Genomic DNA, 23,263 nt, shown 5'->3' with positions numbered 1-23,263 from the left:
CCTGTACACCTGCCCGCCCCCTCCATTAATCCCCTCCGCTGTGAGATTTTAAACCATCTAAATCTCCTTCCTGTCCTTTGACCTGCTCTTTAGGCGGGTCACTAGAAGGAATTACACTTCTGGGTCTCCTGTTTCCTGCACCTACAAAGCGGGGTTTGGGATCTGAATCAGGAAAAAAAAAGAAAAAAGATAATACTGTACCAGTGGCAAACTATTACATAGTACTAATGTGTCACACACTGTTATACATCATCATCTCCAGTTTACATATGGAAGAAGAAACAGAGTCACAGAAGTAACCGGTGTTCCAGGGAAACTAATTCTAGAATCTGTGTTCTCAACACAACACTCAGTCCAAGCTCCTCCCACCTCAGTGGTACAGCCCCCAGCCTCAAAACCTGTAAATACCATACTTGGCCGGGCGCGGTGGCTCACGCCTATAACCCCAGCACTTAGGGAGGCCGAGGCAGGCGGATCGCTTAAGCCCAGGAGTTTGAGACCAGCCTGGGAAACATAGCGAGACCCCGTCTCTACAAAAATTAACATTTAGCCAGGCGCGGTGGAACACACCTGTGATCCCAGCTACTCAGGAGGCTTAGGTGGGAGGATCACCTGAGCCCGGGAGGTCGAGGCTGCAGTGAGCCGTGATCGTATCACTGCACTCCAGCCTGGGCAACAGAGCGAGACCCTGTCTCAAAAAGATATATATATATATATATATATATATATATATATATATATATACATATTTTTTTTTTCTTTACTGTTTTTAGTTCGACCCCTCCCCTCTGGGGCTTCGCTTATTTTCTCTTCCAGGCCCCGCCCATCCAGGATTCAGGCACACAGCTCCAGACCCTTCTAATTTTCGCAGACCTGGAATCGCCTGGAATCCGACCCCACCCAGTTATATTTGAATAATTCCCTGTTGCTTTAGCCCTGCCCACGTTTGAGCTCCTCCGCGTGCCCCAAAAGTTTCTGAATCGTTTCATTCGGCCCCCTTTCTCGCTCCCTCTGCAAATCTAGGCTCGGACCCTACCTCAGAGCATTAGAATCTTTCCACCCCCTCCTCAATGGCACCCCGAGCACCACCCCAACCCACCCAGGGATCCACGCTCTCATCCTCTCTGCCGTGGCTCGTTCACCATCCTCTCCCAAGTCCCTCGCCAGACTCCAGGCCTCCTTCCCTCTTCCCCTAAAGGCTGCGCCCTCTGCGATCTAGGCCCCGCCCTTCAGGCCGCTTTCCCCTCCTTCCTGGCTCCGTAGCCCACCCTCTTGGTTCCGCCCCTTTAGTAAGAAGGCCACGCCCCTCCGCCTGATCCTCGGCGTTTCCCCGCCCCTCACCCTCCCTCTGGTACCGCCCCGCCCGTCTTCTGGCCCCGCCCCCGGCCGCGCGCTGCAGTGCCTTCCCCACCTCGGCCCCGCCCGCCCCCGCCGAGCCGAGCACCAGGGCGGCGGCGGCGGCGGCGGCGGCGGCGGCGGCTGGAGCAGCCCGGGAGGAGGAGGCGGCGAGAATGGCAGCGGCGTCGTGGGCGCGGCGGAGATGAGCGCCCGCGACCCCGGGCCCAGGGCGGCACAGCCGGAGTGGGCGGGGGTCCCGATGCAGGCCCGAGGGGGGCCATGGGGCAGGTCCTGCCGGTCTTCGCCCACTGCAGTGAGTAGAGGAAGACTGGGGCCTGGTGTGGGCCCCAGAGGTTCAGGTGGGGTACTCCCCGGTGTCCCCTCGGCGCTTGCCCGCAGGAGAGCCGGGATGGGGGGAGGAGGCATAGGAGACAAAGGAAGCTCTCCCCTCCCCCGCGCTCTGGCGGCGACGGGGGTAGCCTGACCCGGAGGACCTGGACGAAACAGGGCGGAGGTGAGGGGGCACTGAGACAGCAGGCGGGGGGCGCGCTGCGCTCTGGGACGTACCGCCCGGCCCCGCCCGGGAGCGAGGACGCGCGCGGGGAGCTGTCCCCTGGCTCTGGTGCTGGCCGCAGCTGGCGGGGAGGGGGTTGAACGGAGGGTAGAGCCAGGATGGAAAACAGGGGTCTGGCTCCCAATCACTTGCCTTCGCATCCCATCCCCGTTTTCTGTCCAAGAGGCAGCCCCGACCTCGCCCAAACTGTCCAACCCTGTCCCGGGAAAACAGCCATCCGTGGTTTGGGGGCAAGGACTCATGGGTTCTTAGCGGTCTTTACCACTGGTTAATGGTAATCCTGGGGAAGACCCACACCATTCCAGGCCTCCTATTCCCCAGCTGAGGAAACGAGGTGAGGGCACAGGGCGTCAGATTTCAATTTCCAAACCGCATTGAGCATCATCTATGTGCAAAGCTCTGAACTAGCTCTAAGGGGCTGGATTCCCAGCTGAAAACGCCTAGCCTCACAATCTCTGAGCTCACAGCTATAACAGTCCATGTCTACCGTTCTCTGTCCCACACATGGGGGTTCTGACAGCTGGGGATTTCAACACCCTTAGATCTAGCCATTTCCATGTCTCGCGTGTCCAGATGCCAAAATTCTAAGAATTGGTGATTTCAGCATTTTCGAGTATCATCCCAACATTCTATGATCTTGTCGTTAACTTCAGATTACAAAGGGAGGACCACCTCGTCTGTCTCTCCCCACCGCCCTTACCTCTCTGTTCTCACCTCCCACTCCTCTCCTCCTCAGTCACTCTTCTCCAGTCATATCTTCGCACCTCTCAGTTCCTCAGATGCCAAGCATGGTGCCTGGCTCAGGGCCTTTGCACTGGCTTTCTTCTCTACCTGGAAGACGTCCCTGAACATCTGCATGGCTTCCTCACTTCCTTCAGATCTCTGCTCAAACGTCATCTTATCAGAGAAGCCTTCTTGACCACCCTATGAGAAACAGCACCCCTTCACTTTCTCTTCCCCTACCCTTCTTTACTTTGCTCCCTATGCTCATCTGCACCCGACGTCATATATTCACTTGTTTATTGTTTGTCTATCCCAAAGAGTGTCAGCTCTAGGAGGGCAGGGATTTTGTCTGTTTTCTTCACAGCTGTATCCCCAGGACCTAGAACAGTGCCTGGCACATAGTAGGTGCTCAATAAGTGGTTGTTGAACGAATGAATGAATTGAAACCTCCTAAGATTCCTACTTTGAAGACTCTAAGATTAAGATTCCTGGATTTGGACTTCAAAGACTCTGAGCTTCATCAGGCAGTGATGCTAGGTTTTAGAGTCTGTGTGCAGAATGTTCTAAAAATCCCGTGATTCAAATATTCTAAGATTCCAGGACTGGGACACTTCTGTGATTCGGACAGTCTAAGCTTCTAAGAGTCTTCGATTCTTTCCCTCTCGCAGAAGAAGCTCCGTCTACAGCCTCCTCAACTCCTGATTCCACAGAAGGTAAGTGGTGGGGAGCATGTGAAGGGGCTCAGGGCTGGGCAGCTCAGGGACCTGCTGAGGGAAACAAGGCTCTCCTTCACCCACTGCAGGAGGGAACGACGACTCTGATTTTCGAGAGCTGCACACAGCCCGGGAATTCTCAGAGGAGGACGAGGAGGAGACCACGTCGCAGGACTGGGGCACCCCCCGGGAGCTGACCTTCTCCTACATCGCCTTTGATGGTGTAGTGGGCTCCGGGGGCCGCAGGGATTCAACTGCCCGCCGCCCCCGCCCCCAGGGCCGCTCAGTCTCGGAACCACGAGACCAGCACCCTCAGCCCAGCCTGGGCGACAGCTTGGAGAGCATCCCCAGCCTGAGCCAATCCCCGGAGCCTGGACGACGGGGTGATCCTGACACCGCGCCTCCATCCGAGCGCCCTCTGGAAGACCTGAGGCTTCGGTTGGACCATCTGGGCTGGGTGGCCCGGGGAACGGGATCCGGGGAGGACTCTTCCACCAGCAGCTCCACCCCGCTGGAAGACGAAGAACCCCAAGAACCCAACAGATTGGAGACAGGAGAAGCTGGGGAAGGTGAGATGTCCGAGGTGCTGGGACCAAAGCCAAGAGGGGTGGGTGGTTTCTCCTTGGGGCACCTCCAAGAAGAAAGCTCACGGCCTCCTCTCTCTACCGTATCAGAACTGGACCTACGACTCCGACTTGCTCAGCCCTCATCGCCCGAGGTCTTGACTCCCCAGCTCAGTCCGGGCTCTGGGACACCCCAGGCCGGTACTCCGTCCCCATCCCGATCGCGAGATTCGAACTCTGGGCCCGAAGAGCCATTGCTGGAAGAGGAAGAAAAGCAGTGGGGGCCACTGGAGCGAGAGCCAGTAAGGGGACAGTGCCTCGATAGCACGGACCAATTAGAATTCACGGTGGAGCCACGCCTTCTAGGTAAGCAACGTGTATGAAGATGCTGCATTGGCCCACAGAAGGCAAAAGGTGAGAGGATTTTGAATTAAAGGGACCAACCTCGCAAAGGAACAGTACATAGTGGAAAAGGGAAGAGATAGACGTGATATCACATCTGGCTAGACGTGATAAACTCCGCTTTTTAAAAAAATTTCCCCGGCCGGGCGCGGTGGCTCATGCCTGTAATCCCAGCCCTTTGGGAGGCCGAGGCGGGCGGATCACTTGAGGTGAGGAGTTCGAGATCAGCCTGGCCAACATGGTGAAACCCCGTCTGTACTCGGGAGGCTGAGGCAGGAGAATCGCTTGAACCTGGAAGGCAGAGGTTGCAGTGAGCCAAGATCGCGCCACTGCACTCCAGCCTGGGCGACAGAGCGAGACTCCGTCTCAAAAAATAAAAATAAAATAAAATAATCCTCCCTCTTCTGGAGTGCTCCTCCTAGTGGCTGATTTTGGACAGGCCAAATCCCTGAAAAAATACAGTTCTCTCCTTATTTAGATGTGGCCGTAGAATATTTATAAGTAAACTCTGTGCCTTTTAAAAACTCTTCTTTTTGGCCGGGCGCAGTGGCTCATGCCTGTAATCCTAAACACTTTGGGAGGCCGAGGCGGGAGGATCCTTTGAAGCCAAGAGTGCAAGACCAGCCTGGGCAACATAGGGAGACTCGATCTCTATTTGAAAAAACAAACAAAAACCCTCTTTTTCCTGACCACATCTATTGGCCAGTTGTAAAATGACCCAGCCTTACTTTAAAATATGCTCCGCCTCCAGGAACAGCTATGGAATGGTTAAAGACATCATTGCTTTTGGCTGTTTACAAGACGGTTCCAATTTTGGAATTGTCCCCACCTCTGTGGACAGCCATTGGCTGGGTCCAAAGGGGCCCCACCCCCCCTACTCCTGTCCTCCGGGTTCTACTGAAGTGGGCAAAATCCCCGAGAAGCAGCGGTGTCCCCAGCCTCTCACTCGGAGCCGATATGGGGAGTAAAGGTGGGCTTGCGGAACGGGCTGGACGGGGGCTGAGGTCGGCGGAACGGGGTCCAAACTCGCCCTTATCTCCTGCACATCCGGAGCATTTTTATTACTGATCTGCTTCCGCAGCGCTGCAGGCTGGGGCTAGGGGGCCGAGGGGCAGTATAGGGAGGACCCAGAGGGAGCATGGGGTCCCTTCTCCTTCGAGCCAGCACTTTGGGGCCCAGGAGCAGGGAGGACCCCCTCCCCCAGCCTCGGCCCCAGGCAGCGCTGTCACTCAGGGGCCAGACGGGCCAGAACAGCTGCGGGGAGGCCCCCTCCCCCCAGCGTGCCTAAACTTAGCCCCCGCCTCAGGCGACCTGGCCCCTCCCCCATCCACCGGCGCCGGCCACTAGGAGCCTGCCTGGGAGGGCCCTGCTATGGGGAGGGAGGGGCTGCCCTATTTGGAGGTAAATGAGAGGAGATGCATTGGAAGGAGACGGAAGTGAGGGGTGAGCCTCTAAGAGGGACCGGTCGGAGGGGTCAGTTGGAGGGAGTGTGGGAGGATAGAGAGGATCTGGAAAGAAATAGAAAGGTACTGAGTTCCTGGTTTTCAGGACTCAAAGGAAAGCAGATTACTAAAGTTTCTTTTTCTTTTTAAGCCACAGAGTCTCCCTCTGTCGCCCTTTCTGGAGTGCAGTGGTGGGATCATAGCTCACTGCAGCCTCCAACACCTGGGCACAAGTGATCCTCCCACCTCAGCCTCCCAAGTAGTTGGGACTAGAGCCACAGGCCACCACGCCCTGCTAATTTTCTTATTTTGTTTGTAGAGACAGGGTCTCACTATGTTGTCCAGGCCTCAGGTGATCCTCCCGCCTCGGCCTCCCAAAGTGTTGTGATTACAGGAGTGAGCCTAAAGTTTAGACAGATGAGATGAAGGTTGGGGTACAAAGGTCACTGGTCAGGGCTGAGGTTGGGTTTAGGAGGTGTGTTTTAGGGTCTCAGAAAGGGGTCAGAAATTTGAGTTAGGCCCTGGAAAGGAGTATGGCGTGATTAATACATTTAGGACTTAGAAACATGTGTTGCTAAGGGTATCAAGGGGATATCACTTTACACCTGACAGATTGGCAAAAGTTAAAAAGAACTGCAACCCACTGCAGGGCAGGATGCTGGGAAAAGATCTTTCTCTTGCTTCTTGTGGAAATAAGAACTGTTATGGTCTTACTAGTAAGCAGTGTTTCAAAATTTATGACATTAAAAAAATATATATGACCGAGCGCGGTGGCTCATGCCTGTAATCCCAACACTTTGGGAGGCCGAGGTGGGAGGATCACTTGAAGCCAGGAATTCAACCTGGGCAACATAGCGAGACCCTATCTCTACAAAACATTTAAAAATTAGCCAGGTTTAGGAGGTCGAGGTGGGCAGATCACAAGGTCAGGAGATCGAGACCATCCTGGCTAACATGGTGAAACCCCGTCTCTACTAAAATACAAAAAATTAGCCGGGCATGGTGACGGGCGCCTGTAGTCCCAGCTACTCGGGAGGCTGAGGCAGGAGAATGGCGTGAACCCGGGAGGCAGAGCTTGCAGTGAGCTGAGATCGCGCCACTGCACTCCAGCTTGGGCAACAGAGCGAGATTCTGCCTCAAAAAAAAAAAAAAAAATTAGCCAGGCCAGGCATGGCAGCTCATGCCTGTGATCCCAGCTAGTTGGGAGGCTGAGGCACAAGAATCTCTTGAACTCGGGAGGCAGAGGCTGCAGTGAGCTGAGATCATGCCACTGTACTCCAGCCTGGGTGACAGAGGAAGACTTTGTCCAAAAAAAAAAAAAAAAAAATTAGCACGATATCGTGGTGCCACCTGTAGTCCCAGCTGCTAGGAGGCCGAGGTAGGAGGTTTGCTTGACTCTGGGAGGTAGAGGCTGTAGTGAGCCATGATCACGCCACTGCACTCCAGCCAGGGTGACAGAGTGAGACTCTGCCTCTAAAAATAAAAAAAAAAAAAATGTGGCCGGGCGTGGTGGCTCACGCCTGTAATCCCAGCACTTTTGGAGGCCAAGGTGGGTGGATCACCTGAGGTCAGGAGATCAAGACCATCCTGGCTAACACGGTGAAACCCCATCTCTAACTAAAAATAACAAAAAATTAGCCAGGCATGATGGCACATGCCTGTAATCCCAGCTACTCGGGAGGCTGAGGCAGGAGAATCGCTTGAACCCGGGAGGTGGAGGTTGCAGTGAGCCGAGATTGCACAATTGCACTCCAGCCTGGGCAACAAGAGCGAAACTCTGTCTCAAAAAAAAAAACAAACAAACAAACCAAGGTCAGGCGTGGTGTCTCACGCTTGTAATCCCAACACTTTGGGAGGCCGAGGTGGGAGGATTACTTGAGGTCAGGAGTTCGAGACCAGCCTGGCCAACATGGTGAAACCCCATCTCTACCAAAATATAAAAAATTAGCCGGGTGTGGTGGAGCCCTCCTGTAATCTCAGCTACTCAGGAGGCTGAGGCAGGAGAATTGCTTGAACCCAGGAAGCGGAGGTTGCAGTGAGCCAAGATTGTGCCATTGCACTCCAGCCTAGGCAATAGAGCGAGAATCCGTCTCAAAAAAAATAAAAACAAAAACAAAACACACACACACACACACACACACACACACACACAGACACACAACCAGTCCACCCAGCAATTCCACCCTGGGAATCTGTCTCAGAAATAGTCACTCCAGGAGGTGAGAATATCTGTTGGAGGATGTTGCTTGCAGCCCTGCTTGCGGTGAAGGGGTTAGGAAACAAACTGAATGACCCAGCAATAGGTACATGGTTAAATAAAATGAATGAGAGCACAGGAGCACAGCCACAACACAGAATACTATGCAGCTCTTTAAAATAATGAATTAAGGCCAGGCGCGGTAGCACATGCCTGTAATCCCAGCACTTTGGGAGGCCAAGGCGGGTGGACCACGAGGTCAGGAGTTCGAGACCAGCCTGACCAACATGGTGAAACCCCGTCTCTACTAAAAATACAAAAATTAGCCGGGAATGGTGGCACATGCCTGTAATCCCAGCTACTTAGAAGGCTGAGGCAGGAGAATCGCTTGAACCAGGGAGGCGGAGGTTGCAGTGAGTCGTGATTGCGCCACTGCACTCCAGCCTGGGCAATAGAGAAAAAAATAAAAATAAAATAAAATAATTTTTAAAAAATTGCAAATCGGGCTGTGTGCTGTGCCTCACACGTATAATCCCAGCACTTTGGAGGGCTGATGCAGGAGGATAACTTGAGGCCAGGAGTTCGAGACTAGCCTGGGCAACACAGTGAGAGCCACCTACCTCTAAAAACAGAAACAAAAACAAAAATTAGCTGAGTGGTGGTGCACACCTGTAGTCCCAGCTACTGAGGAGGCTGACGTGGGAGGATCACTTGAGCCCAGGAGATCGAGGCTGCAGTGAGCTATGATTGCACCACTGCCTCCAGCCTGGGTGACAGAGTGAGACCCTGTCTCTCAAAAAAAAAAAAAAAAAAAGGAAATCAGGTTATGCTCAAACAGGTGTGTCGAGAAGTCATTTTCAGCTGTAGGACAGGGAAAGGGAGGTGAGGAGACCAGCCAGGTCAGGTACAAGCCCTGATGCCCCCCACCCCTCCACAGTGGCGGACCTGCTGTACTGGAAGGACACGAGGACGTCAGGAGTGGTCTTCACAGGCCTGATGGTCTCCCTCCTCTGCCTCCTGCACTTTAGCATCGTGTCCGTGGCCGCGCACTTGGCTCTGTTGCTGCTCTGCGGCACCATCTCTCTCAGGGTTTACCGCAAAGTGCTGCAGGCCGTGCACCGGGGGGATGGAGCCAACCCTTTCCAGTGAGAACCCCCGGCCCCTGACCTGAGCCCCTGTCCTGACCCTAAAGCATGACCCACGACCTCAAATCAGGCACCGACTCCCACCCGGACCCCGACTCATCTTGATCATTTTTCATCCCGATCCCCTAACCTACCCTTCAATCCTAATCTCTGATCCTAACCTGGTACCCTTCATCCTCGATCCCTTCCCCTGACCCTGACCCTGACCCCAGCCCTCTACATATGATTCCTCTGAGCTGCCCCTCAGTCCTAACTCTGGTCTTCTCCCAACCGCCATTCCTCTCCCTTGTTTCAGCTGCCCCTGCACCAGTCTGAGCTGGTCACCCACTGAGTCGCCCCACACTCCTTTGTCCCCGCAGGGCCTACCTGGATGTGGACCTCACCCTGACTCGGGAGCAGACGGAACGTTTGTCCCACCAGATCACCTCCCGCGTGGTCTCGGCGGCCACGCAGCTGCGGCACTTCTTCCTGGTAGAAGACCTCGTGGATTCCCTCAAGGTGGCCTGGAGCTCTCAGCCCCTCCTGGGTTCCCCCATTCACCTCTGCATGGCTAGGGGGTGGGAGGGCGACTGTTGGGTAAATTCACAGCATGAGAGGGAATTCCCGGTGGGCTCTGCTGACCCTGACCTTCACCCCCAGCTGGCCCTCCTCTTCTACATCTTGACCTTCGTGGGTGCCATCTTCAATGGTTTGACTCTTCTCATTCTGGGTGAGCTGGGAAGGCCGTAAGGGGCAAATGGGGACTTGGAGTCTGGTGGGGGACAGGGCTCCAGATGGAACTGTTCATCTCTTGGGAACACCCTGACGCCCCCATCTCTGTACCCACAGGAGTGATTGGTCTATTCACCATCCCCCTGCTGTACCGGCAGCACCAGGTGAGTGTGACACCCTCAGTTGTCAGCACCCCAGCTAAACATGGGGGTCTGACCATCTCCTTCCAGAACCGGGGTCCCATTGACAGATGTCCCGGCCAGACACAGGTGTCCTGGCTGCAGCACCTTCCCAATACAACCAGAGTCTAAGTAACATGTCTTATCAGCATCAGCCAGGGACAGGCTTTTTGTTTGTTTTTGTTTTGTTTTGGGTTTTCTTTGAGACAGAGTCTTGCTCTGTTGCCCAGGCTGGAGTGCAGTGGTGTGATCTCGGCTCACTGCAACCTCCGTTTCCTGGGCTCAAGCAAGTCTCCTGCCTCAATCTCTGAGTAGCTGGGATTACAGGCATATGGCCACCGTGCCCGGCTAATTTTTGTATTTTTAGCAGAGACGGAGTTTTGCCATGCTGGCCAGGCTGGTCTCAAACTCCTAACCTCAAGTGATCTGCCCACCTTGGCCTCCCAAAGTGCTGGGATTACAGGCGTGAGCCACTGTGCCTAGCCTTTGCTGCCTTTTTTTTTTTTTTTTTTTGAGATGGAGTCTCGCTCTGTTGCCCAGACTGGAGTGCAGTGGCACGATCTTGGCTCACTGCAGCCTCTGCCTCCCAGGTTCAAGCGATTCTCCTGCCTCAGCTTCCCGAGTAGCTGGGATCACAGGTGCCTGCCACCATGCCTGGCTAATTTTTTGTATTTTTAGTAGAGACCGGGTTTCACCATGCTGGCCAGGCTGGTCTCCAACTCCCGACCTCAGGTGATCTGCCCGCGTTGGCCTCCCAAAGTGCTGAGATTGGCCTTCACTCTTGATTTTAACTGACATGTCAGTTAAATGCTACTGCATTCCAGCCTGGGTGACAGAGCAAGAGTCTGTCTCAAAAAAAAAAAAAAAAAAAACCAAAAAATAAAAAATAAAAACATAAAAATAAAATCAAGAGTGGGATGGCTGTTGCCCACAAGACTGACATTAGCAGGACTGCTGACATCCATCCTATCCAGAGACAGGCGGATGGACTGACAGCCCCTTCTCCAGCACAGCTGGGAGCCACATGATAATATGCCCTGCCAGTTAGTCCTAACTCTGTCCTTCACAGGCTGGAATCACCAAGACTCACAATTAAACTGTATTTAAATCAGGCCAGGCACAGTGGCTCACAACTGTAATCCCGGCACTTTGGGAGGTTGAGACAGGAGAATTGCTTGAGGCCAGAAGTTCAAGACCAGCCTCGGCAACATAGTAAGACCCCCATCTCTACAAAAAGGTTAAAAACTAGCCAGGTGTGGTGGCACACACCTATAGTCCCAGTTACTCTGAAAGCTGAAGCAAGAGGATGAGTTGAACCCTAGGAGGTAGAGGCTGCAGTGAGCTGTGATCATGCCACTGCACTCCAGCCTGGGCAACAGAGCAAGACCCTATCTAAAAAAAAAAAAAAAAAAAAAAAAAAAAAGGCTGGGCATGGTGGCTCACGCTTGTGATCCCAGCTTTGGGAGGCTGAGGCAGGCGGATCACTTGAGGTCAGGAGTTCGAGACCAGCCTGGCCAACATGGTAAAACCCTGTCTGTATTAAAAATCCAAAAATTAGCAAGGCTTGGTGGTGTCCACCTGTAATCCCAGCTACTCGGGAGGCTGAGGCAGGAGAATCGCTTGAACCCGGGAGGCAGTGGTGGCAGTGAGCTGAGATTGCACCACTGCAGTCCAGCCTGGGCCACAGAACAAGACTCCGTCTCAGGAAAAAAAAAAAAAGAAAGAAAGAAAAAGAAAAAAAAAAGAACAAGAAAAAAATAAATAAATAATCCAAAAATTAGCCGGGCATGTTGGTGCACACCTGTAATCCCAGCTATTCGGGAGGCTGAGGCAGGAGAATCGCTTGAACTCAGGAGGCTGAGGTTGCAGAGAACCGAGATCATGCCACTGCACTCCAGGCTGGGTGACAGAGCGAGACCCTGTCTCAAAAAAATAAATACAAATAAATAAATAATTTTTTAAAAAACACGAGTATATAAATCAATCCACTCAGGGACTCGGTGACCAATGCCAGTGCCTTCTGTTCTCACCCTACCCCACAACACACACGTATGCAAACTCACTCAAAGATTAACCATCGTGCCCAGGACACGGCCTCACTGCCAGATACTTGTGCGTTCCACCTGACATCACTCTCCATACAGAGTATGGCCCAACTCACTGACCCTATAACTGGCATCTCTGGCATCTAATGTATTCTATGAAGTTTAGAGCCGGGGGTGGCGTGGTGGGCCACTCTTCACAACTCCTAATTTGGAGGTTGGGGAGGAAGCAGCCTCCTATGTGACTAAAGAGAAGAAACCCCTCCAATCCCTTCTTTCACCTTTCTTTGGTCTCCCCAGGCTCAGATCGACCAATATGTGGGGTTGGTGACCAATCAGTTGAGCCACATCAAAGCTAAGTAAGAGCATGGGGCGGAGGTCGATGGGAGGGGGAAGTGGGGGAGCTTGGGAACCTTTCCTTTCTACTCTCGCTGTCCGCAAATCTCCTGGGGTAATGTCCCCTTGAAAAGGCTGAGGAGGCAATTCCAATGTAGGCCACTAGGTGGAGGGCAGGAGCTGGCTTCGGGCTCTTGGTCAGTTTCCCACCCAGCTTTCCCCGTTGTCCCCAGATGCCCACCCCGCGTCTCTTGCCCCACCTCGTGATCCCACCTGTTTCTCCTTCAGGATCCGAGCTAAAATCCCAGGGACCGGAGCCCTGGCCTCTGCAGCAGCCGCAGTCTCCGGATCCAAAGCCAAAGCCGAATGAGAACGGTGTCTCTGCCCGCAGGACGCCTGCCCCCAGCCCCCGCAGCCCTCTGGCCCCCTCCATCTCTTGTCCGTTCCCACCCACCCCCCTCCTCGGCCCGAGCCTTTTCCCGGTGGGTGTCAGGATCACTCCCACTAGGGACTCTGCGCTAATTACCTGAGCGACCAGGACTACATTTCCCAAGAGGCTCTGCTCCAGGAGTCCAGGAAAGACGAGGCACCTTGGCCGCGGGGCCTGCTGGGACTTGTAGTTGCCTAGACAGGGCACCACCCTGCACTTCCGGACCCGCCGCTGGAGGCGCCGTGAGGCGTTGGTGTCTCCTGGATGCTACTAGCCCCAACGCCGGGGCTTTGCATGGGGCCCAGGGGAGGCCTGAGCTTGGATTTACACTGTAATAAAGACTCCTGTGGAAAACCCGAGGCCTCTTGTGCTTCCAGAACCCTCCAGTTGTTCACCTTTCTGCACTGAAAGGCACTTAAGTGACACTCCAGGAGAACCTTCCCCATCTCTGGAGAAGGAGCTCCCTCTGCCATCTGTGTAGGTTATGAAATGATTGAGGGGAGGCCGGGCGCAGTGGCTCACGCCTGTAATCCCAGCACTTTGGGAGGCCGAGGAGGGCGGATCACTTGAGACCAGAAGTTCAAGACCAGCCTGGCCAACATGGTGAAACCTCATCTCTACTAAAAATACAAAATTTAGCCGGGTGTGGTGGTGCATGCCTGTAATCACAGCTACTCGGGAGGCTGAGGCATGAGAGTCGCTTGAATCTGGGAGATGGAGGTTGTAGTGAGCCAAGATTGCGCCACTGCACTCCAGCCTCGGCGACAGAGCGAGATTCTGTCTCAAAAAAAAAAAAAAGAAAGAAATGATTGAGGGGAAGATGCTGACAGACCACCCATTCCAGGGTTAGCCAAGCCTTGGCAGCCACTTCCCATGCCTGTGCTCAAGGCAGACATCACTAATGGATCCCACACCCTGCCTACTGTGCAGCCACCTCAACTGAGCCCAAACCCACGTGTCCAACGGCCTCTGGATGCCCCTTCCACCCTAAATCTAACCAAACGTCTTCTTCATCCTACCTGATTTCCAACTCAGAGATGTTTTCACTGCCCACGGTGTCACCAGGCCAGACACCCAGGTATGGCTCTGGACTTCTACACACTCACCTCCCACAAACAATCAGTCACAATGCTGTGTCTATCCTGCCTCACAAACTTCTCTCATCCACCCACGTCTCCCCACCCTGATTGCCTCGGGAACAAATACAGGGCCTCCCTGGACTTCCAGTTTCAACACTAATCTGAGGCCTGGCATGATGACTCACATCTGTGATCCCAACACTTCGGGAGGCCAATGTGGGAAGATCACTTGAGGCCAAAAGTTCGAGACCACCCTGAGCAACATAACAAGACCCCCGTCTCTAAAAAAAAAAAAAATTTATCCGGGCGTGGTGGTGCATGCCTGTAGTCCCAGGTACTTGGGAGGCTAAGACAGGAAAATTGCTTGAGGCCAGGAGTTCGAGGTTACAGAGAGCTATGATCACACCACTGCACTTCAGCCTGAGTTACAGAGGGAGACCCTGTCTCTAAACAAAAACAAAAACAAAACACAAAAAAACTACATACTGGGCGTAGTGGCTCACGCCTGTAATCCCAGCACTTTGGGAGGCCAAGGTGGGCAGATCACTGAGGTCAGGAGTTCCAGACCAGCCTGACCAACATGATGAAACTCCATCTCTACTAAAAATACAAAAATTAGCTGGGTGTGGCGGCGCATACCTGTAATCCCAGCTACTCGGGAGCCTGAGGCAGGAGAATCACTTGAACCCAGGAGGCAGAGGTTGCAGTGAGCCAGGATCATGCCGCTGCACTCCAGCCTGGGCAACAGGGCGAGACTCTATCAAAAAACAGCAACAACAAGAACAACAACAAAAAAGACAACTAAACTCGGAAAGGATGAAGCAAAGGGACCCGTGGGGAGACTGGGAGAACACTGAGGTCTAAAGATCCACAGACTTGGGTTTGAATCCTGGCTCTACTACCCCTTCGCTGTATGACCTTGAGCATATGACTTCATCTCTCAAAGCCTCAGTTTCCTCAAATGGAAAACTTATTAGGCCGGGCACGATGGCTCACGTCTGCAATCCCAGCACTTTGGAAGGCCAAGGAGGGAGGATCACTTAAGGCCAGGAGTTCGAGACAAGTTTGGGCAACATAGACCTCATCTCTACAAAAAAATTAAGTAAGAAAAAAAGAGGCCAGGTGCAGTGGCTCACACCTGTAATCCCAGCCTTTGGGAGGCCAAGGAAGGTGGATCACCTGAGGTCAGGAGTTCAAGACAAGCCTCGCCAACATGGTAAAACCTCGTCCCTACTAAAAATACCGGATGTGGTGGTGGGCACCTGTAAGACCAGCTACACGGGAGGCTGAGGCAGGAGAATCACTTGAACTAAGGAGGTGGAGGTTGTAGTGAGCTGAGATTGTGTCACTGCACTCCAGACAGGGCGACAGAGCAAGACCCTGTTTCAAAAAAAAAGAAAAGAAAAAGAAGAAAACTGTCAACCATAACTATACCTACATGTAAAGCCCTTGGCATTGGGCCTGGCATATAATAAATGCACAGTAAGGAGTTATAATATTGTTTCCCAAACCTCAGTCATTCCCCACATGACCTTCATCTTTCTACAACCTGTTCTGCTATTTATCTAATATTTTTCTTGAAAATTGGTTTAATATTTAATAATATAATAACAAATGTATTTTAAGAAGAAAGGTTACCTTGCCACCAGAAACCAGTATTGCTTGCCAGAAATAGAAGACAATAGTAAAAATAAACACAAAAATATTGACGTTTAAAATGTTTGTGCAGCCAGGCGCAGTGGCTCACGCCTGTAATCTCAGCACTTTAGGAGGCCAAGGCACGTGGATCACCTGAGGTCGGGAGTTGGAGACCAGCCTGACCAACATGGAGAAACCATGTCTCTACTAAAAATACAAAATTGGCCGGGCGTGGTGGTGCATGCCTGTAATCCCAGCTACTTGGGAGGCTGAGGCAGGAAAATCGCTTGAACCCGGGAGGCGGAAGTTGCAGTGAGCCGAGATCACACCACTGCACTCCAGCCTGAGCAACAAGAGGGAAACTCCATCTCAAAAAAAAGCCGGGCTCGGTGGCTTACGCCTGTAATCCCAGCACTTTGGGAGGCCGAGGCGGGCAGATCATGAGGTCAGGAGATCGAGACCATCCTGGCTAACACGGTGAAACCCCGTCTCTACTAAAAATACAAAAAAATTAGCCGGGAGTGGTGGCGGGCGCCTGTAGTTCCAGCTACTAGGGAGGCTGAGGCAGGAGAATGGCGTGAACCTGGGAGGCAGAGCTTGCAGTGAGCCAAGATCGCGCCACTACACTCCAGCCTGGGCGACAGAGCGAGACTGCGTCTCAAAACAAAAAACCAAAAAAAAGAAACAAAAAAAAAAAAAACTCACTTGTTCGTCATACACACGTCACATATTAGGAGACAGATAACGGTGTTCCAAGGAGTCCTTACATCCTCAGAATTTGTATACAGAGGTGCCTAGCAGCAACTATCTAATTAAAACAAAGAGGGTTTAGGGGATATATCTTGAATCTGGATTTGCCAAGCAGAGGGAATACTTTTTTTTTCTTTTTTTCTTTTCTTTCTTTCTTTTTTTTTTTTTTGAGACAGAGTCTCACTATGTTGCCCAGGCTTGTCTCTAACTCCTGGGCTCAAGCTATCCGCTCATCTCGGCCTCCCAAAGTGCTGGGATTACAGCGCCTGTCCAAAACTTTCTAAAGATACTCTTAGTTAAACTTCCCATAAGACAAAATGTTTATTGATCTATCACAAAAAGTGGTGGAAGAGGGTCTGATTGAGATTTTGGGTCTGGGAATGACTAAAGCCTCCAAGCTCAAAACAGATTGAAGACTGAAACGGCCTTTATTGGCCAGGTGTAGTGGCTCCCGCCTGTAATCTCAGCACTTTGGGAAGCTGAGGCAGTTGGATTACCTGAGGTCAGGAGTTCAAGACCAGTCTGGTGAACATGGTGAAACCCCGTCTCTCCTAAAAAAACAAAAAACAAAAATTAGCCAGGTGTGGGGGCAGGCGCCTGTAATTCCAGCCAAAAAAAAAAAAACTTTTTTTTTTTTTTTTGACAGAGTCTTGCTCTGTCGCCCAGGATGGAGTGCAGTGGCACAATCTTGGCTCACTGCAACCTCAGCCTCCTGGGTTCAAGGGATTCTCCTGCCTTAGCCTCCCGAGTAGCTGGGATCACAGGTGTGAGCCACCATGCCTGGCTACTTTTTGAATTGTTAGTAGAGATGGGGTTTTACCATGCTTGCCAGATGGTCTGGAACTTCTAATCTCCTGTGATCCACCCACCTTGGCCTCCCAAAGTGCTGGGATTACATGTGTGAGCCACCGTGCCCAGCAGAAACAGCCTTTACTGAGCTCCTCCCAGTTGCCTCAGCCAGTGTCAGAATTTTATATCATGATTTCTCCAGTGAGATCAGTTGTACTAGTCTGGTTATACAAATGAGAAAACTGAGGCTGAAAGAAGGATAGTGAGGCCAGGTGCTGTGGCTCACGCGTGAAATTCCAGCACTTTAGGAGCCCAAGGCAGAAGCATCACTTGAGGCCAGGAGTTCGAGGCCAGTCTGGGCAACAAAGTGAGGCCCCTGTTTCTACAAAAAAAATTAAAATTAGCTGGGCGTGATGGTATATGCCTGTCATCCCAGGGAGGCTGAGGCAAGAGGATCACTTGAGCTTGGGAGGTCGAGGCTGCAGTGAGCCGTTTTTGCGCCACTGCATTCCAGCCTGGGTGACAAAGTAAGATCCTGTCTGGAAGAAGAATGAAAAAAAGACAGTGATGATATTCTTTTATTCATTCCACAAACATTTACTGAACATCTGCTATGTTCTCAAGCACTTTTTAGGCACTAGAGATACAGCAATGATCAAAAATAAAGTGCATAGTTTCATGGTGCTGATATTCTACAGAAGCAGACAGACGGTAAGCAAATAGACACAGAAAATGGCAGGTGGTGATCAGAGTGGTGGGGAAATGTCTAGCAGGGTAAGGGGATAGAGTGACAGAGCTCGCTTTTTAAAAATTTTTATTTTATTTATTATTATTATTACTTTTATTTGGAGATGGAGTTTTGCTCTTTTCACCAAGGCTGGAGTACAATGGCACCATCTCAGCTCACTGCAACCTCTGCCTCCCCGGTTCAAGCGGTTCTCCTGCCTCAAACTCCCGAGTAGCTGGGATTACAGGCGTGAGCCACTATGCCTGACTAATTTTTGTATCATTCGTGGAGACGGGGTTTCACCATGTTGGCCAGGCTGGCCTCGAACTCCTGACCTCAGGTGATCCACCCGCCTCGGCCTCCCAAAGTTCTGGGATTACAGGCCCTGAGCCACCGATCCCAGCCACTAGCTATTTTATTTATTTATTATTTATTGAGACGGAGCCTCGCTCTGTCCCCCAGGCTGGAGTGCAGTGGAGCAATCTCAGCTCACTGCAAGCTCCGCCTCCCGGGTTCACTCCATTCTCCTGCCTCAGGCTCCCGAGTAGCTGGGACTACAGGCGCCCGCCACCACGCCCAGCTAATGTTTTGTATTTTTAGTAGAGACAAGGTTTCACCGTGTTAGCCAGGATGGTCTCCATCTCCTGATCTCGTGATCCACCCGCTTTGGCATCCCAAAGTGCTGGGGTTACAGGCGTGAGCTACCGCGCCCGGCCGCCACTCGCTATTTTAAACTGGGATCAGGGAAGGCCCCACTGAGTGCTGGTCACTCAGTGAGTTTTTGGTATTGACATTTGATCAGATGACAGAGTGAAGGGAGGCGATGAGCCATGGGAACATGTGAAGAGGAGATCCAGGCTAGGGGATCGGCAAGCACAAAGTCCCTGTGGTGGTAGCATGATCCATGTGTGCAGCAAGACATCTGTGTGCCTAAATCCAATAATATCCAAGGGAAGAGGAGTATGTGAGACAGGGTCAGAGGGACCAAAGGGGCTGGATTACAGGGATTTGTAAAGCAGGGTGAGTACTTTGACTTTTACTCTGAAATGGAAGTCATGGGAGAGTTTCATGCAGGAGAATGGTATTGTCAAAGAATCACTGACTTAGAATATTGAATAATTTTTCGTGATGAGTACACCTAAAAGCCCAGATTTCACCACGATGCAATCAACATATGCATGTAGAAATCGGCACCTGTACCTCCTAAATATGTAAAAATTTAAGAAAAAAGAATCACCTTTTTTGTAATAAAAATTGTAACACAAGTTCGATTTCCCTAAGTGGATGGGCTGTTTTAACCGGAATATGGTACTATCCGTTTCTGAGTCTGTCTCAGTTTCTCCAACCATAAAACGCAAGTGCAGAAATTGGTTATGTCTAGTGTTTAAACTCAATCGGGACAGGATGTCTGTCGTCACCAGCACCGAGACAGTTCCTGGGACTCAGTAGACGCTCAATAAACGTTTGAATGAACGCGGAGCTCCATCGGCCTACGCAATTCCATAAAAGAACAGCAGGTGTCGCACCAGCCCTATAGCCGCCTGCTCAGAGCCTTTGGGGCCAGGGTGAATCAGACTCTAACAGGAACCCACTCACCACTCCTCCGCAGAAAGAGAATTCGGAATTTTCCGAGAAGGCGCTTCTGAATGCCGAATCATGAATCTCTCCTCTTAAAAAGCTGACTTTTCATTTTGGAAAAAGGGGGTCCTGGGCCCTTTAACAGCTTGCCAGGTGCTCAAACGCTGCTTCCCAGAATGCGTGGCGCTATGTAAATGAGACGGTTTGGGGAGCGAGGATGATTCATACTATATGAAGTGAAGGCAACGTTTTACAAGGACATCTCTCACGATAAATGAGTGGGGAGAACTTATAGCCCTTGAAGTCAACCATCTCACACCTTTCCAAAGGACGCGACCATAACTCTAAAAGGTAAGCTTTTGCGATCCTTATATAGCTGCGCGGGAATAAGGTTGTCCTGCCCGGATGATCCTCAGTGGTCTGGGGTGCAGGCTTCAAACCTGTAGCTGTCTAGCGACAGAGTGGTTCAATTCCACCTTTCGGGCGGTAGTAACTAAGCGCCTTAAATCTTACTTATCGAACCGGACTTCTTTTGCTTGTTGCCCGGGAGGCGCTCCTCCAGCCTGCACCTGGAGAGGTCGCTGCGGCCTTCCGCATCGCAAACTCATTCTCTGTCACTCCGATCTCTGATTGTCGTTACTTATTTCCCCCTCCGGAGTATAAAAACCCACTCCAAAAGACGGAGAAAAAGTCATCTACCCAGTTCTGGGATATTGGCAGTTTGGAAATTATCCTAGATCTCTCCCCTTCAATTGCTTACTCATTCAGTCGTTTGCTCACTCATTTATTTAATCACGCATGCCGTGATTAATCAGTCAAATACTTGCCCATTTGTTCATCTGTCATTCACTCATCAAACAAGCATTTGCTGAGGACGCAGCGGTGGGTGACAGCCCTGGCCTTGGTCTCCTGGTGCAGTCAGCCCAGTGGGGGAGACAAACATTAAGCCATCATGTAATTACACACTTAATTAACAACTACAAAGGGGATAACGGCTGCAAAGGGAATAGAAAAGTGAGGCCCTCTCATAAGGAGAGCTGAGCTGGTCGGGTGTCATGGGAACATTAGGGCAGACCCTTGAAGGATGGGGGTGAATATTATGGGATATCGAGGGTTCAGGCTGACCCCAATAAAGATGATGGGGGTAATGATAATTGCACCGTCACTCTGCACTTACTGCTGGCATGCACAAGCCTTGCAACTCCTCTTAACAGCCCCCATTCTACAGATGAGGAAATGGAGGCTCAGGGAGATGAAGTCTGTTGTCCAAGGCAACCCAGCCTTTTTTCTTTTTTCTCTCTCTTTCTTTCTTTCTTTCTTTCTTTTTTTTTTTTTTTTTTTTTTAATTTTACTTTAAAAACTGCTCCTTGTAGAGCAGGGTTAACTCATAGGCAGTGTCTTTTTTTTTTTTTCCTTTTTTTTTTTTTTTTTGAGACAGGGTCTTACTCTGTCACCGAAAGTGGAGTGCAGCGGTACGATCATAGCTCACTGCAGCCTCAAACTTCCAGGCTCAAGCAATCCTCCCACCTCAGCCTCCTGAGTAGCTGGGACCATAGGTGCGTGCCACCACTCCCAGCCTCACTCAGACCACTTGACCCATGCTATTTATTACTGCCCTGTATTTTCCTTCCCAAGCCGGCTGCTCACCAAGCCCAACTGTCCTGCCTCCCGAGTGTCTCCTGAATCCTTCCCCTCCTCTCTGTCCCATGTCCCTGGCCCTGTTCTGGACTCCTCCTCACCCCACCCTGCAGGGTCCCCACCCCACTTCCTCCCTGGTCTCCTGCTCAGTCTCACTCCTCTCCCTTCCAGTCACGCTCAGTCTGGGGCCAGAGGGGTCTTTCCTAAATCACAAACCTGCCCCTGCCCCTCTCGTGTTCAAAACCTGCAATAGCTCCCCAGTGCCCTGAAGAAAAGATCTAAACTCCTTAGCCTGGGAATGTCATTATAGTACCTGCAGAATCTGGTCTCTACTAACCCCTCTCTCCACACCCGTGGTTCCAGTCTCCACGAATCTCTGAGTTTTCTCTTTTTTTTCTTTCTTTTTTTTTTTTTTTTGAGACAGAGTCTCGCTGTGTTGCCCAGGCTGGAGTGCAGTGGCACAATCTCAGCTCACTGCAATGTCCACTTTCCAGGTTCAAGCGATTCTCCTGCCTCAGCCTCCCGAGTAGCTGGGATCACAGGTGCCCACCACCATGCCTAGCTAATTTTTTGTATATATATATATATATTTTTTAGTAGAGACGGGGTTTCGCCACGTTGGCCAGACTGGTCTTGAATGCCTGACCTCAGGTGATCCACCCACCTCGGCCTCCCAAAGTGCTGGGATTACAGGCATGAGCCATCGCACCCGACCCTCTAAGCGTTCTCAATGTATCAAGCCTTCTCCCCACCAACAGATCTATGGCTGTGCTATTTTCTTGGCCTTGGCCTTTTTCTATTTCTTTCTATACTCTCTATCCTCCTCTAGGACTCAGCTCAGCTGTCCCCTCCGCCAGGAAGTTTTTCCCGACTCCCAGTCCAAGCTAGGTGTCCCTGCTGTGCTTCCCTAGCCCCATGGGCTTCCCAAACCCAATCCACTTTAGGTTGTCCCTGACTGGCAACGGTGTGTGTCCCCCAATGGACTGTGAGCCCCAGGAGGGCAAGACCTGAGGCTCAGTCCCTATAGTGTCCCCAACTCCCAGCACAGTTGGGTAGGTGCTTAGCACATTTTTTTGAGTGAATTAATAAATGGATTCCACCATGACAAATTCCCTTGCTTATTGATTTACCAAAGCGTCTGAGCGACCCCTGGACCCTCACCTCAATTCCCAGAGGACTTGCTGTTATGCAAATAAGAGACGGCTAGGATTTTGCAATGGGGATGGCTCCACTCTATGTGTAAAAAAAAAAAATGGTCATATATTTGCTTCAGTCAGTCTTGGGTTGGCCCCAATAGTGGTCATATGGAAAACAAAAGGAAACACATCTTCAGTGTAAAATAATTGTTTTTTGTAGTTGTAGTTTGTAAAAAATCCAAGATGACGCCTCATTCCTAGCCTGAGTGGTCTTTAGTAGTTTGCTGTGCAAGTTTCTCAAGATCCTCTTTTTTTTTTTTTTCTCAACATAATGAGATGGGTTGGGGTGGGGGGTGTCTCACTATGTTGCCCCAGGCTGTTCTCGAACTCCTAGCCTCCTACCTCGGCCTCCGAAAGAGCTGGGATTGCAAGTGCAAGCCACTGTGCACAGCCCATTAAGCTTCTTCTGTGTATAGTTTATCTCCTTAGCGTCTGTTTTTAACCCATAGAGCATACAAGCTCCATCACTAGGACACCTCTGTGATCCCACACCTGCAGGCTAACCTTCTGACCCCTTACTTTTTTTTTTTTTTTTGACAGTTTCACTTTGTCACCCAGGCTGGAGTGCAGTGGTGCAATCTTGTGTCACTGCAACCTCTGCCTCCTAAGTTAAAGTGATTCTCCTGCCTCAACCTCTCAAGTAGCCTGGGATTACAGGTGTGCACCACCACACCAGGCTAATTTTTGTATTTTTTGTAGAGACAGGGTTTCACCATCTTGGCAAGGCTGGTCTCAAACTCCTGACCTCAAGTGATCCGCCCATCTTGGCCTCCCAAAATGCTGGGATTACAGGCGCAAGCCACTGCGCCCAGCTGTAGCCACTTACTTTTTCTAGTAGGAGGCACTGCCTGCGAGTACAGGAAGTCCTCCTGACTGTCTGCCTTCCTTTTATCCTGCTGTAGACCCATTGACTAGAAGGAGTTCCTGCATAGGTGTGTGTCTGTGTGTGTGTGTGCATGGGTGTATGATCTCTGTGTGTGTGTAGTCCTTCGACAATCTAACCTCATCCTCTCTTACTAAAAGGAAGCCAGGCAATGGGTGTTAGGAGGAAATAAACACTGTAGCCTGGCGAA

At 51.4% G+C, this 23,263-nt stretch overlaps 1 protein-coding gene and 1 non-coding gene across 4 annotated transcripts, besides 2 other annotated features; both read left to right on the top strand.

The window, feature by feature from the left end:
- Window positions 1,188–1,497: a silencer, noted in NCBI's record as "silent region_10773". NCBI's record gives its function as "represses an Ori minimal core promoter by ATAC-STARR-seq in GM12878 lymphoblastoid cells {active_cell/tissue: GM12878}" and the evidence as "EXISTENCE:reporter gene assay evidence [ECO:0000049][PMID:35858748]".
- Window positions 1,396–13,149, top strand: RTN2 (reticulon 2). 3 transcript variants are annotated; one of them, NM_005619.5, is made up of 11 exons: window positions 1,396–1,651; window positions 3,304–3,348; window positions 3,438–3,917; window positions 4,023–4,277; window positions 5,065–5,283; window positions 8,890–9,097; window positions 9,457–9,595; window positions 9,737–9,806; window positions 9,926–9,972; window positions 12,330–12,388; window positions 12,654–13,149. In NM_005619.5, exons 1-11 carry the CDS (start codon window positions 1,618–1,620, stop codon window positions 12,733–12,735), a joined length of 1,638 nt encoding a protein of 545 aa, NP_005610.1. In that variant the 5' UTR covers window positions 1,396–1,617; the 3' UTR covers window positions 12,736–13,149. The 3 variants fall into 3 exon arrangements, with proteins under 3 accessions (NP_005610.1, NP_996783.1, NP_996784.1); NM_206900.3 differs by lacking the exon at window positions 5,065–5,283; NM_206901.3 differs by lacking the exons at window positions 1,396–1,651; window positions 3,304–3,348; window positions 3,438–3,917; window positions 4,023–4,277 and having other exon boundaries at window positions 5,190–5,283.
- Window positions 5,420–5,659: a silencer, noted in NCBI's record as "silent region_10772". NCBI's record gives its function as "represses an Ori minimal core promoter by ATAC-STARR-seq in GM12878 lymphoblastoid cells {active_cell/tissue: GM12878}" and the evidence as "EXISTENCE:reporter gene assay evidence [ECO:0000049][PMID:35858748]".
- TRU-TCA1-1 (tRNA-SeC (anticodon TCA) 1-1) lies at window positions 19,756–19,842 on the top strand. The gene has a single exon. It is a non-coding gene; the product is annotated as a tRNA-Sec (tRNA).

This window comes from Homo sapiens, chromosome 19 (genome assembly GCF_000001405.40).
Source record: "Homo sapiens chromosome 19, GRCh38.p14 Primary Assembly".
In the NCBI taxonomy this organism is placed as follows: Eukaryota; Metazoa; Chordata; class Mammalia; order Primates; family Hominidae; genus Homo; species Homo sapiens.
The sequence above is the reverse complement of the archived record's forward strand: the minus strand, read 5'-3'. Positions and strand labels throughout refer to the sequence as shown.

Bases quoted from the DNA above. Each gene is read 5' to 3' on its own strand.
- RTN2 (NM_005619.5), top strand. From the start codon at position 1,618: ATGGGGCAGGTCCTGCCGGTCTTCGCCCACTGCA. The intron at 3,349-3,437 runs GTAAGTGGTGGG...CACCCACTGCAG, and splicing joins AACTCCTGATTCCACAGAAG to GAGGGAACGACGACTCTGAT. The intron at 9,807-9,925 runs GTGAGCTGGGAA...CTGTACCCACAG, and splicing joins TTTGACTCTTCTCATTCTGG to GAGTGATTGGTCTATTCACC.